The sequence below is a fragment of the Homo sapiens genome, chromosome X (genome assembly GCF_000001405.40).
Source record: "Homo sapiens chromosome X, GRCh38.p14 Primary Assembly".
In the NCBI taxonomy this organism is placed as follows: Eukaryota; Metazoa; Chordata; class Mammalia; order Primates; family Hominidae; genus Homo; species Homo sapiens.
Window position 1 is genome coordinate 119,635,030 of NC_000023.11, and position 13,977 is coordinate 119,649,006.

A 13,977-nucleotide genomic window follows, 5' to 3' on the forward strand; every position below is an offset into this window, starting at 1 on the left:
AAGAAAAGAAAAGAAGAAGTGATAGGATCTTAATGTTAAGGGCTGGGAGGGAATGGAGGGAGCAGTAAGGGAAGCAGAACTCCCAGGACTTGGGAGGAGCCAAAGGTAATTCTGATTATCCTTGGGCAACCAGGTGGATGGTGGTATCATGAATGGCAACAGGGAATGTTGGAGACACATGCTTAAGAGGGCAGAAGATGAATTTGTACAGAGCTTGATTTTCGGGGAGGTCCTCTATGGGATGTCTGAGTGGACATCCAGGATGCAGTTGGATTAATGGGTTTAGACCTCAGAAGTAAGACTAGCTTGGGAACCATCTACTTCTAGGTGGTAATTAGGGCTGTGAGAGTAGAAAGAACCAGCTGCAAAGAGAACAGAAAGTGAAAGGAGCAGAGGCTCTAGGAAAGAATCCCGGGGGGTATATCAACATTTAAAGGAGTAAGGTGAAGAAAACGAGCCTGCAAAGGAGGCTGAGAAGAAATAGTAGGAGAGATAGGAATAGAATCAGCCAGGCCAGTGCTAGAAAAGCCAAAGGCAGAGAGCATTTCAAGGAGGCAGTGGGGAATGGCATAAAGTGCTGCGTTGATATCAAATAAGATGGAAACCAAAGGCCACATTGAACTTGGCCACAAGTCTGCGATTCCTGGCCTTGGAGAGAGGCATTTGAGTGGTTATGCTGGGGACAGAAGCCAGACTGCAGTGGATTGAGGAATGAATGAGAGATGGGGAAGAGGAACCAGTAAACATAGAACAACTCTTTCTCCTCATCCTGTCAAGGACTTCTTGACAGGACAGAGGCTGGTAAGAAAGAGCAGGGTTAAGGGAGAGTTTCTTCAGCACAAGAATGCTTACATGCAGCATGGGAAGGAGCTGGCAGAGAAGGAGTGAAGAAGGCGAAGACACAGGAAACAGAGGTATTCAGGATGGAGTGAAGGAGGAGGGAAGGAGACAAAATGACCAGGTGGAGGCACACCTACTCCTCTACAAATGCAGATGAAAGCTGCAGGTGGGGAAGACAGCCAGGGAGCTCCCACCAGAAAAAGACAAGCATGGCTTCCCCCAGCCCCACCTGTCAGTATATAGGGCATGAGCCTGTCCCTCCTGAAGCAAATATCCCCAAGGGACTGGTTAGGCTCTGACTCCAGGCCAGCTTTAGGCTGTGCACAGGTAGAGTAAGATCTCAGAGGCTCTTTGAAAGCCTTTTTAACTGGTAGACATCTCCCTCACTTGCTTATTAATGCCTGACCACCATAAAGGGCACCACGTGGTAATTTCAACTGTGGGGCTTATTTCACACATCACGCATATAGATCAGACACTTCTACTTGGCGCATTACTCCTCTCTGCATAATAACCTGCTTTCAAAAACATTCCCCTTCTCTAAAAGCATTCTGATTTAAGAAATATGGCAGTGATGATCAACATCCTGCGGTCAAAACAGAACTTGCACTTGAATGCAGACACTAAGGACAGCAATTGGAGAGCCTGCAGTTCATCGATGCATGGCAAGGGCATGCTACCTGGTCCTATCTGGGTTTGAGAATGGGGAAATGGGTAAAGAACAGACTAGAAACCTGTCTGAGCGCCAGGAGCCTGATGAAGAAAGAGGGGCAGAGGACAGTTACCAACTGCCACCTCGTGGAACAGGGCCCCAGCTTGGGGATTCCCCCCAGCGCAGCTGCTTGGAGCTGTCATGGATGCGTGCATGTGTGTGTGGTGATCAGCCTTGCTGGTCCTCTGGGCATCCTCCCTTCCCTTGCCCTTAAAAGCAAGGCGGCGGTACTTCCCAAGCCTGCTCCCCACAGCTCTCCTGGCAGGTGTGCAGAGGCAAAGGGTGAACAGGCAAGCAGAACTGGCAAGTGAGTCGCCCCTGCTCCTTGAGGTCTTAGCACCCGTGTCTCGCCTCCCCTGTGAATTCTCCAGGGGAAGGCTTCCACACCACCTGAGTGGGCTGAGCTGAGCTGGGCTGGGCTGGGCTGGGCTGGCAGGAGCGGTACCTGAAGGGTTTGCTGTCAGGGTCGGTGTCCTTGAAGCCCATCTCCTCCAGCTTACAGCGGCGATACAGCTCATAGTGCCGGGTGTGGGTCTGCTCCCGCAGATCCTCCATGTTGACCCGAATCAGCATCTCCCGCAGCTTCACAAAGTCGCAGTGGGCCTCGTTTTCAACTGCATAGCAGGATTTGGGGTATTGAAAGTATGTTGAAAGGAAGGCCAGCAGAAGCAGAAATGGATGAAACGAGAGGCAAAATGTCTAACAGTGACGTTGCCTTGCAATCTGTGTATTTAGATCCTGCAAATTTACCTCCTCTCTTTTCTACTGAAAATGTAAATGAAAGGTTACAAAAATGCCAGTAATGAAAAACTGTGATATCATAAAAATACTTATTAAGACAGTCAGTAGCACCACAATCTAAATTCAGCAGTCAGAACCCTCAAAAGAATGTTTGGTCTGCACCACTTGTAGGACAACAGCATATATGCATCTGTCCATCCATCCATCCATCCATCCACTCATCCATCCATCCATCTATCCATCCATCCATCCATCCATCCATCCATCCACTCATCCATCCATCCATCCATCCATCTATCCATCCATCCATCCACTCATCCATCCATCTATCTATCCATCCATCCATCCATCCATCCATCCATCCATCCATCCATCCAATCAATATTTGTGGAATCTCTGTTCCCAGTATTGTGTGAGGCACTGGGAATTCAGAAACGAAGTGATGGAATCTTGCTCTCAGGAGCTTATAGTTTAGAGGAAGAATAGATACAAATAGACAAATACAATTCAGTGCACAACTACAAAAATAGAGGGATAGCCAAGTTGCAATAAAGCTCAGAAGAGGGGAACCTAAGAACTCCTGGGAAAGTGAAGACTTCACCGAAGAGAAAATCTCTAAGATGACTCTGGAAGGAAGAATAGCAATTTATCAGCCAGAGAAGGGAATGGTGTTTGCAAAGTGTCAATGAGGCTAGGCAAGGTTATGTAGCTAGTAAGTTGCAGAATTAGGGTTCAAACCCAGGCAATGTAGGGGAGGTGACAAAGTCTCCAAAGAATAAGGGGAAAGAACTAGGATATTGATAGATGACAGTGACAAGGAGGGGTGTGGACCGCAGGCATGGCCCACCTGGATGGTAGAAGCTTCCAAGGAGGTGGTTTCTTTAGAAGGTAGATAATGGCCTGACAGTAGCAGTGGTGACTAGGAGCAAGGGGACCCCACTTTCTGGCCTGTGTGAACAAGTCCCCTCCTCAAAAGAGTGCAAGCAAAGGTCTGCAATTTGGGGCAGTGGTCAAGAATGACAGATGTGGACCAAGTCATAGCAAAATCGATTTCTGGCTGGACCAGGTCACGAGGAGCACTTTGTCAAGGTGGCTACAGGTATGGCTTCACTGTGTCGGATGGTGGTATTTGCCCTGAACAAGTAGGAAAAATGGTGTCTGAAGTGAACAGGCAATCACCCCAGATTCTGTCTTGCAGGGTCTGGAAGAGGGTAGTGAGGGCAGAGAAGGGTCTGGGATAAGTGGGTCAGCCATAGTTGAAGCAGACTACCTTGTGGTCATTAATCTTTCCAAAGCCCGAATCAGCTCACATAATCCCTCTGCTTAAGACCCACTGAATTAGGAATAAAGCCCCCTGCTGTCATAGAACACAGGCTAATATTAAAGATGACATCAGTAAGACAACTTCTCAGGACTATGCTATATGCCATCTCCTCCTCCATCTCTGGACAGTGATCTCTAATGGTGAGTCAGAAGGAGTGCCTCCGAGGGCCCTGCAGGCTGCCTGAGCAATATACAACTTCTTCCTCATTCAAGCGGAACAGTCAACTTAGACTTACAAGAAAAACTTTCAAAACCCCCTTTTCTGTTTAGGTTCAGAGTAGTCCACATCAGATGAAATAAGTCATTGGAACCATGTCTACTGGCTTCTCCTCGTCTCACTTCAGGTTCCTGTTTCTCAGACCACAAGTCCATTCCCAGGGTGGGACACTGTGGGTCCAGAAACCATTTGCAAACGTTCCTAGTGGAGCATCCCCAGCTCCGAACAGCAGAGAAGACCAGAACTTAGCACAGCTCTGATAACCAGTCTTGTCCTACCTATGGAAAATCCAGCTATTGCCAGTGGGTGTGTGGGGTGTCCTAAAACATGCCAGCCTTCGTATGTGATGTGGACAACTCGCCATCCACTTTCAGGTGTTTCCCCAGTGGTAGGGATGAGTTTACAGAGAACCAGCCACTCTTTCACACGATGCCCCTATCAGCCACGGCCCAGTTTCTAGCTGTAGACTCTGAGGACCAGAGACCTCTTCTACCCACAGCGCCATCCTTGGCCTTGTCTTGTGCACTGAACTGACTAGCCCTGAGGGTAAGTTAACATATGTCAGGCAGATCACAGAAGGAACTTTCCTGAGTGTAATACAATATGTCTAATTGCTTTTCAATTGTGAAATAATCATACATACAAAGAGCATGAAATGTGTATGTACAATTTAAAGAATTTTTGAAAAATTAACACCAATGTCTCCACAACTCAGGTTAAACATTACCAGTACCTTGGAAGCCCCTGAGTGCCCTTTCCCAATCTCATCCCCCTCTATCCCTCAACTCCCCTGGCAGAGACTTAATCCTTCTCCTGACTTTGGGGATTATCATTCCTTTGTTTTTCTTTATAGTTTTACCTCTTATGTATGCATTCCTAAGAATATATATCTTGTTTAGTTTTGCCTCCTTTTGGAATTCATACAAAGGGAATCCAATGGTATGTTTCTTTCTTTCTTTTTTTTTGAATCTCACTCTGTCGCCCAGGCTGGAATGCAGTGGCAAAATCTCAGCTCACTGCAATCTCTACCTCCCGGGTTCAAGCGATTCTCCTGCCTCAGCCTCCTGAGTAGCTGGGACTACAGGCACATGCCACCATACCTGACTAATTTTTTTTTTTTTGTATTTTTAGTAGAAACGGGGTTTCACCATGTTGGCCAGGCTGGTCTCGAGCTCCTGACCTCAGGTGATCCGCCTTCTTCGGCCTCCCAGAGTGCTAGAATTACAGGAGTGAGCCACCGCGCCCAGCCCCAACACGTAGTTTTTTTAAATCCCTTATCCCCCTCCCACCCTCCCACTATCCAGTCTTTTTTTTTTTTTTTTTTTTTTTTGTATTTTTAGTAGAGATGGGGTTTCACCATGTTGGCCAGGATGGTCTCAATCTCCTGACCTCGTGATCCGCCCGCCTCGGCCTCCCAAAGTGCTGGGATTACAGGCGTGAGCCACTGTGCCCGGCCTATCCAGTCTATTTTAAAGAATATCTGAATTGTTTGTAATTATTTGTCATTACAAACAACACTACTGTGAACATTCTTCAGGTGCACTTGGGCAAGAACACATGCTTTTTCGCACACTCCTTCCTACCTTGCAAGTCCTTGTGTTTTAGGAATACCTTTCCCATTAGAAATTAGAGGGAGCTTGCTCCCATCAGAGCATCCCAGTATGGAGCCAGAGTTAGCTTGCTAGTGACCCCTATGGCTATTTGGGACCCATGCCGAATGAGCAGAGACTTGGGACAATTTAGAAACTTGTCATATAGTGGCTGGGGACAAACAAAGAGACAGACAAAAGGGGCTTCCTGTGTGTAGCCCTTCCCGGAGACTCACTCACCCTGCACAGTGCCCCAAGGATACTGCCGCGCCCTCATCATCTTGTTGCCTATCTTCAGTTCTTCTGTGCTGCCAATGACAGCAAACGGCAGGTGGGCCTGAAACCGAAGGCAAACGAAAGCTGAGAACTGCAGAAGAAAGGCACTGAGTGTTACACAACCCAACTGCTGTTCGTCTCTGGGGCCCCAGGCCCTCACCCTGCAATGTCCCTCACTGTCATCATCACCAACAAGCATTTATTAAGTTCCCAAACCATGTGAGGATAAGAGGCCTAGTCCAAGCCTCTGCTGTTCAGAAATTCACAATAGAGGGTAACAATGACATGGCTGAATGCATAGGGAACAAAGAGAGAAAATAAGCAGAATAATAAGCAGACACACAGATTACCAAACTATTCGCTATTCATAGTTACTGCTGAGGGGAAGAGCCTTTGGAAGAAGGGGAAGTGGAATGAGGGGGGTTCTGTGTGGATAGAGAGGATAAAGGAGTACCAAAGGGTCTGGGATCACTGGCCCTTCTCCCTCCCTGGCATGCAAGAGCCCCAAGACTAGGTCCATACTGAGACCACACAGCCAACTGAGCTGTACTCTCCTTGTTCTCATCCTTCCCCGGAGAAAGAGCTCACATTGAACTTGTGAGCCTAGAAGGCAAGTCACCAAGGATTTACTCACATGACCATGCTGGGTTCTTCTGTAGGTGCTATAAGGCAGACAGAAGCAGCAGAAGACACGCTCCCTCGCCCTCTAGGAGCTTACAGTCTTGTTGAGGAAGCCCAAATTACATAACTCAAGTCATATAAGATAGTATGTGATCAAGGGCTCAAGTATATGGTCTGGTACCCTGTACATAGTAGGTGCTTAATAAATACTTCCTGAATGGCAGTGGTAGGGCTAGGGAAAGAGGAAAGAAAGGCAAAGGACAAATAGGTTTATGAGCTTGGTGCTCACAGGGAAAATGAGGAGCTTGGCCTGGCTTTATGGATGAGAGAAGAGAGAGCTGCCCCGACTTGGCAGTATGGGGCCTAGGAAACACTCACAGAGCCGTAATCCACAAGGAGCTAGCCAGCTTGTAAGTGCTAAGTCACCACAGCCAGATGGAACCACGGAATCAATGTTTACTGACCAGGTGAGCCCAGGTGGGGCTTTGCCCAAAAGGGCTTTACACCAACAGGTAAAGAGCCTATGGGGAAAGTTTCTTAGCCTGCCTGCAGAAACAGGCCATGATCTCAGATATTCTGACCCATTTGCCCACTCATCCATTCTACAAATATTTACTGAGCTCCTATGATATGTGCTAGGCATTAAGAATGACGTAATAGCAAAAAAGCACAGACCCTGGCCCCGGAGAGTGCACAGTGTGCCAAGGGAGAAAGCCATCTCAACAACGATCATACAGGAAGATCAGGGTTGTACCAGAAGTGGAGGTTGCAGTGAGCCGAGATCGCACCACTGCACCCCAGCCTGGGTGACAGAGCAAGACCCAGTCTCAAAAAAAAAAAAAAAAAAAAGAAAAATCAAGGTTGTAAACAGAGGCTAAAGGGCTGGAGTAACACAGAGGAGGGAGCAATTCTTGGGAAGTCAAATAAGTTGTTTCAGAGTAGGTAGTGGCAATCATACTAACAGCATTAGCATTAGCAATAATTTGTTAAGCCCTATGCACTGGGTACCAGCTGCTTTACATGGCATTGTCTCACTGAATCTCTACAACACTATATGGTAAGTTGCCTTATTAGTCTCCTCTTTAGATGGGGAAACTGAGGTCCAGAAGGGCTAAGAGACTTGTCAGCAGGCACACAATAGTAAGGAACAGAATAACTTCAAACCCCACCCCTTGCTGGTCTGCTACCTCCATTTAGGGGGTTCAAGCAGTAGATGAGGTGCGTACTCTAAACCTTGGGGGGAACTAGTTGTGCAAGACCAGATTATCAGAGGCAATTCAATTCAGGGAAACCCACAGCAAATCTGTCGCTTGTTTGTTTAATCCACAGGCTGATCTCACAGTCAATTCTTTTCTCCATTCTCCTCTAGCTCTGGACCCCAAAAATGTCCTTCAGAGCAGAAGAACACAGGATTTCATCAGGAGCTCAGCTCCAGGACCTCCACCAGTCCCTCAAATTGCTTGGCCGCCAGCTGAAGCTGCTCTTCTTTCACCCTCTCCACTCTCAGCTGCTATCAGACGATCGTCTCAGACACCCTCCGACCCCTCCCCACTCCACTGACTGTCCCTTAAATCTGGACATGGGAAAGAGGAGGTTATGGATTATGGAAGGTGGGTGTGGGGTGGAGGTGGGAAATGTTTCATCAGTCCTGGGAGGGGAATGACCAAAAGAGTAACTGGGCAAGTGACACACAGGGCATTTGGGAAGCACTGAATTCCTGAAAATGCTGCCCAAGGGCCTAAGCATGTCCAATCTTTGCCAGGAGAGTTGATCTGGGCACAATTCATCCCTACTCAGGGACCTAAGACATATCGGGAGCCTCGAATCCACCCCTAAACACTTTCTGGGAGGACATTTCCCCTGGAGAGACCCCACAGCTTCAGCCACATGACACAGAAGAGCCAAGGGGTGGCGAATGCAGAGAGCTAGACTGAGGGAGGAGGTGATAAAGAAAAACCACGTTGTAGCACTCCCTCCTCCTGGGCTCTCAGCTGTAAGTGATGGAGGAGGAAGGCATGTGAATTGGGAGGTGCTTCTCTGAGCTCGAGGAAAAAAAAAACCAAGAAGAAAACAAAGGCATACAAAAATGTCAGTATTCCCTCGGGCCTGTTGCATTTTTACCATCAAGAGACACCGTCAGAATGATAGGGTGACTTGCTTCCCCCTCTTTCTCAAACTGCTGTCATTTTATTCTTCTAGCTCAAAAACATAGCCCCAGCCCTCCCACAGCACGCTCCTTTGCAGCTGGCGTCAGTCTGCTTTGATAAGTATATGCAAGGTAGGCATTTCCCAGCGCTCTCCTTTGGTTTGATTTTCACAACATCCTTCTATGGCAATGATTAAAAGATCCATTCGTGAGCTGAGGGAACTGGGATACATGGAGGTTAAACGAGTTGCCTAGGTCCCTAACCCCCATGCCCAGATCCTCTGAAGCAGCAGCGAGGCCACCGAGCTTTGGCTGCCAACCTCTCCCAGCCACCTAGGGTGGTCCGCACTCTGCCTCCTGGCTACATGGCATCTGCTAGAAGGAAGCAAACCATGACAAGCAGGAAATCATGGGGACCAGGCTCTGGCCCTCTGTTCCACTGCTTTTGAGAGACAGATGGCTTTGACAACCAGAATAGAGTCGAGCAGAGCAGAGAGCAGATACCCACCCTCCCCCCGCACCACCACGGACCATACTTCTAGGTCCTACCAATGGGATCCAAATCTGAGGCCAGGCTTTCTGCTATTTTTCCCAGGTCTCTGCAGGAAACTGACAGACAGTGGTGACATTTTCTATGTGTGGACCCAGGGAAGAGACTCTGATAGATGCAGGGCAGTGTTGCTGCTGAAACACAAACAGGCCTCTCAGGAGAGTCTGTGTGACTCTCTCACTCAGACTTCCAATGAGGCGCCCTCGGATATCAGATTTCCCAGTGTCAGAAAACTCCAACAAGAGATAGTCGCAAGCCTTCCTTGGGAGTCCATTCCTAGATTCACCATCTGTCTTAGTGCATTTTGTCTTGCTACAGTAAACTACCTGAGACTGAGTAATTTATCAACAATAGAAATTTATTCAAAAAAAAAAAATTTATTCCTCATAGTTCTGGAGGCTGGGAGGTCCAAGATCAAGGCACCAGCATTCTGGTCTGGTGAGGACCTTCTTGCCGCATCCTCACACAGCAGAAGGACAAGCTAGCCCAACACTGCATGATGTCTCTTTAAAAAGGGTCTTCGGCCAGGTGTGGTGGCTCACGCCTGTAATCCCAGCACTTTGGGAGGCCAAGGCAGGTGGATCACGAGGTCAGGAGTTCAAGACCAGCCTGGCCAAGATGGTGAAACCTCATCTCTACTAAAAATACAAAAATTAGCCGGGCGTGGTGGCGGGCGCCTGTAATCCCAGCTACTCGGGAGGCTGAGGCAGAGAATTGCTTGAACCTGGGAGGCGGAGGTTGTGGTTAGCCGAGCCAAGATCGCACCACTGCACTGCAGCCTGGCCGACAGAGCGAGACTCCATCTCAAAAAAAAAGGGCCTTCATCCCATTAACAAGGGAGAAGCCCTCATGGCCCAATCACATTTTTTTTTTTTTTTTAAGATGAGAGTTTCGCTCTTGTTGCCCAGGCTGGAGTGCAATGGCACGATCTCGGCTCACTGCAACCTCCGCCTCCCGGGTTCAAGCGATTATCTTGCCTCAGCCTCCTGAGTAGCTGGGATTACAGGTGCCTGCCACCACGCCCAGCTAATGTTTGTATTTTTAGTAGAGACAGGATGTCGCCATGTTGGCCAGGCTGGTCTTGAACTCCTGACCTTGGGTGATCCACCCGCCTTGGTCTCTCAAAGTGCTGGGATTACAGGTGTGAGCCACCGCGCCTGGCCAGGCCCAATCAATTCCTAAAGGCCCTACCTTTTTTTTTTTTTTTTTTTTTGAGACGGAGTCTCACTCTGTCGCCAGGCTGGAGTGCAGTGACGTGATCTCAGCTCACTGCAACCTCCGCGTCCCGGGTTCAAGTGATCCTCCTGCCTCAGCCTCCCGAGTAGCTGAGACTACAGGTGTGTGGCACCATGCCCAGCTATTTTTTTTTTGAGATGGAGTTTTGCTCTTGGTGCCCAGGCTGGAGTGCAATGGCGTGATCTCAGCTCACCACAACCTCCGTCTCCTGGGTTCAAGCGATCCTCCTGCCTCAGCCTCCTGAGTAGCTGGGATTATAGGCATGTGCCACCATGCCCGGCTAATTTTGCATTTTTAGTAGAGACGGGGTTTCTCCATGTTGGTTAGGCTGGTCCCGAACTCCCGACCTCAGGTGATCCACCCGCCTCGGCCTCCCAAGTAGCTGGGATTACAGGTATGAGCCACTGCGCCTGGTAATTTTTTGTATTTTTAGTAGAGACGGGGTTTCACCATGTTGGCCAGGATGGTCTCGATCTCTTGACCTTGTGATTCGCCCACCTTGGCCTCCCAAAGTGCTGGGATTACACGTGTGAGCCACTGCACCCAGCCCCGACCTCTTAATACTATCATACTGGCCACACCTGAATTTTGGAGGGGACACAATCAAACCATAGCACCACCTTTACTGACTTGTGTCTAACTTAAATTCTTCTTGTACATTGTAAAGTACTTAATAATCCAATTGGCGTGAGTTACTTTATTCTTATTTCACCACATCCATTATACTTGGGAGGCTAGGTGACTGCTTAGCCCAGTGAAATACACACTGTCAGAACTCTTTATTCCTCATCTAATGATAATATTCTGATTGGGCTTGGTTTCCTCCCAGGGTGGACAGTGTTTCCCAGTTATGTTAGTCCCCATTTCAGGCCCCTGCTGGTGACTGAACAAGACCATTGGCTGATTTGCTCTCAAGTCAACCACTGGTGATTCCTGTAAAAGTACATGGCAACAATGGAAATACCATTGCTGTCTCAGAGGAAGGGATGGACTTGTGCCTGTGGGTCTTCCTATGACCCTACTGTTCAGCCATGTGTTCTCACTGGGCCCAAATGTCAATTGCCTTTGTGGGAACCAAACCCCAGACCTCACAAATGGACAATTAATGGAGCTCAGTCAATTAAGTAACTGGGCCTTTTTGCTGGTCCTGGCCATGCTTTCAGCCATTCAAAGAACATCATTAAATTTAAAATAACATAGCAATTCTTAGTATTAAAGTCTACAACCTTGAGAGATATCAGAGCATGGGTTGAAAATAGCATGCAACAAGACCTCGCTCTCCCTTCTCTTCCCCCTCAATCTACAATAAGGTTTTCTGGAGCCACCCATAATTCAAGGTGGTGGCAGGGACCTCATTACTCTCATTTCCTGCCACAAAAATCCCCCATGGTGAGAGACAGGACATTGTACAGTCTTCTCCACTCAGGCAACAGATTTCTTCCGCTTCTTCCAATCCAGCTCCTATGACAATTGGCTGGGGTGGCTGAGGCTGTGGGGCTGGAGTCAAATCCAAAATGAAAGACCAGCACCAATTCCTCCTACCACCCAAGCCCAGGTCCTGAGGATGCAGCTTCATACACCACGGCTTGTGTGAAGACTCTGGGGACTTTTGACATAGTTGTTCGGTGGCAGGCAGGCTAAGCAATCCTCTGTGTATATTTGATAGCACCCTCTTTCCCATCACAGCGCATGTAACACAAAACACTCACATGCAAGCTCCTCTCACAGGCATGCCAATTCAGGCACACTAGCTGTGAGGCCACTCCTCTCTTTCCCACTCAAAAAAAACCCATAGTGGATTAGCCGGGCATGGTGGTGCATGCCTGTGGTCCCAGCTACTCGGGAGGCTGAGGCAGGAGGATTAGTTGAACCCAGGAGGTGGAGGCTACAGTGAGCTGAAATTGATTGCATCACTGTACTCCAGCCTGGGCGACAGAGTGAGAGCCTGTCTCAAAAAAAAAACAAAGCACAGTAGGATGCAAGGGAGTAAGTGGTGAGTGATTTATGATAGGGATAATCCTGAATCCACTGGAATTCCCTGCTCCTCTCCTCTCCTCCCCTCCCCTCCCTTCCTCCATTCCTTCCTTCCTTCCTTCCACTGGAATTCCCTCCCTCCCTCCTCCCTTCCTTCCTTCCTTTTTATTTCTTTCTCTCTTTCTCTCTTTATTTACTTTCTTTTTCTTTCCTTTCCTTTCTCTCTCTCTTTTTTTTTTTTTGTGAGACAGGGTGTTGCTCTGTCACCCAGCCTGCAGTAGTGCAGTGGCTCGATCAGGGTTCACCGCAGCCTCAACTTCCCAGGCTCAAGTAATCTTCCCACTTTAGGCCACCCACCGACCAAGTAGCTGAGACTACAGGTGTGCGCCACAGCACCAGTTAATTTTTTCTTTTTTGAGATGGAGTTTTGCTCTGGTTGCCCAGGCTGGAGTGCAAAGGCGAGATCTCAGCTCACTGCAACCTCTGCCTCCTGGGTTCAAGCGATTCTCCTGCCTCAGCCTCCTGAGTAGCTGGGATTACAGGCATGCGCCACCATGCCTGGCTAATTTTGTCTTTTTACTAGAGACGGGGTTTCTCCATGTTGGTCAGGCTGGTCTCGAACTCTTGATCTGAGGTGATCCACCTGCCTTGGCCCCCGAAAGTGTTGGAATTACAGGCGTTAGCCACCGCGCCCGGCCACTAGTTAATTTTTTTTAAATTTCAGTAGAGATGAGGTCTCACTATGTTGTTCAGCCTCGAATTTTGTTTCTCAAAGTGAAACACAATTATGAGTAATAAAGGACCCAGAATCCCTTCACAGCCATAACAGCATGCTTGACAACTGCTGCTGCCTAGCTTGGGGGTTTCCAGCCTTGAGGTTGAGCCTACCCTAGGCTTAGCAGGAGGCCAGAGCTGAGCTGAGAACAGAGCCCAGGATGATTATCACTCCTAATCCATGAGGTACCAAGATGTGGTTCTGTGTGACACCTTGAGATGGCTGAGTACTCTCAGTCCCTATTTATTCTTAGCAAAGCAAACCACAAGCCTGCAAGCTGCTTGATGACTTAGGGCATCAGTGTTCAGAAGGTCTCTATGGGGACTGATGTCCTGAGGTGACTAGACGCTTCCAGACATCAGTGCCCGTGGCACCCAGATGACACTTCTCGCGAGGCTCCCGTTTTTCTGCAGACTAGGCTGTCTCTTCATAACAGAGCCTAGTTTCCATCAAAATGCCCTGACTTCTCGAGAGGACAAGTGCTAATCTTTTTTATTTTTTCCATGCCCACGGCCGGTCAGAGAAGACCTATCTCTACCTACCATGCTCCAGATAGCCTTACCCTTGAGCCAGATTTGTCTAAGATGGTGATGGTGATAACAAACACATCTCGGGTGTACTGATGGACAGGAAGTCAGGAGAGACAATGACTTGCTGCCCTGCTATGCTAATTTGTTGGCCAATTCATAGGAGGTGGCAGCTGAAGTTGTAATGATAACTTAGAGGGCAGTGGCAGCAGGAAAGTTTTCTAAAAATGGCTTTTATTACAAGGCTTTCCTGAGTTTGGCTATACCCAGGCATTATGTCATTAGGAAAAACTGATGACACTCAATAGAGAAAAAGAAATCTGTTCCTAAAGCGGAGGCTTTCTGAAAGCTATTAGCTGTCTCCTTGAAATCACAACATTGAAGATTTCACAGCAACAGCAACACATTGTAAGGAAGCATTAGGAGATGTTTGCATCTCTGCCTTCTTTA

The 13,977-nt window shown here is 48.2% G+C and overlaps 1 protein-coding gene and 1 non-coding gene across 10 annotated transcripts in view, besides 3 other annotated features; both read right to left on the minus strand.

Annotated features, from left to right (window-relative positions):
* SEPTIN6 (septin 6) overlaps positions 1-13,977 on the minus strand; it is a 77,445-nt gene that overhangs the window by 19,306 nt on the left and 44,162 nt on the right. For 8 of the 9 annotated variants that reach the window (NM_145802.4, NM_145800.4, XM_011531317.4 and 5 more), the window contains exons 6-7: positions 5,663-5,759; positions 1,998-2,166 (exon numbers count right to left, since the gene is read on the minus strand). In NM_145802.4, the coding sequence (NP_665801.1) occupies positions 1,998-2,166; positions 5,663-5,759 (266 nt within the window). The remainder of the gene's footprint in view (positions 1-1,997; positions 2,167-5,662; positions 5,760-13,977) is intronic. The other variant, XM_047441938.1, reaches the window with a different exon arrangement.
* Positions 3,663-3,782: an enhancer, noted in NCBI's record as "active region_29883". NCBI's record gives its function as "activates an Ori minimal core promoter by ATAC-STARR-seq in GM12878 lymphoblastoid cells {active_cell/tissue: GM12878}" and the evidence as "EXISTENCE:reporter gene assay evidence [ECO:0000049][PMID:35858748]".
* Positions 4,293-4,342: an enhancer, noted in NCBI's record as "active region_29884". NCBI's record gives its function as "activates an Ori minimal core promoter by ATAC-STARR-seq in GM12878 lymphoblastoid cells {active_cell/tissue: GM12878}" and the evidence as "EXISTENCE:reporter gene assay evidence [ECO:0000049][PMID:35858748]".
* Positions 11,709-11,819, minus strand: MIR766 (microRNA 766). The gene has a single exon (NR_030413.1). It is a non-coding gene; the product is annotated as a microRNA 766 (primary transcript).
* Positions 12,873-13,052: an enhancer, noted in NCBI's record as "active region_29885". NCBI's record gives its function as "activates an Ori minimal core promoter by ATAC-STARR-seq in GM12878 lymphoblastoid cells {active_cell/tissue: GM12878}" and the evidence as "EXISTENCE:reporter gene assay evidence [ECO:0000049][PMID:35858748]".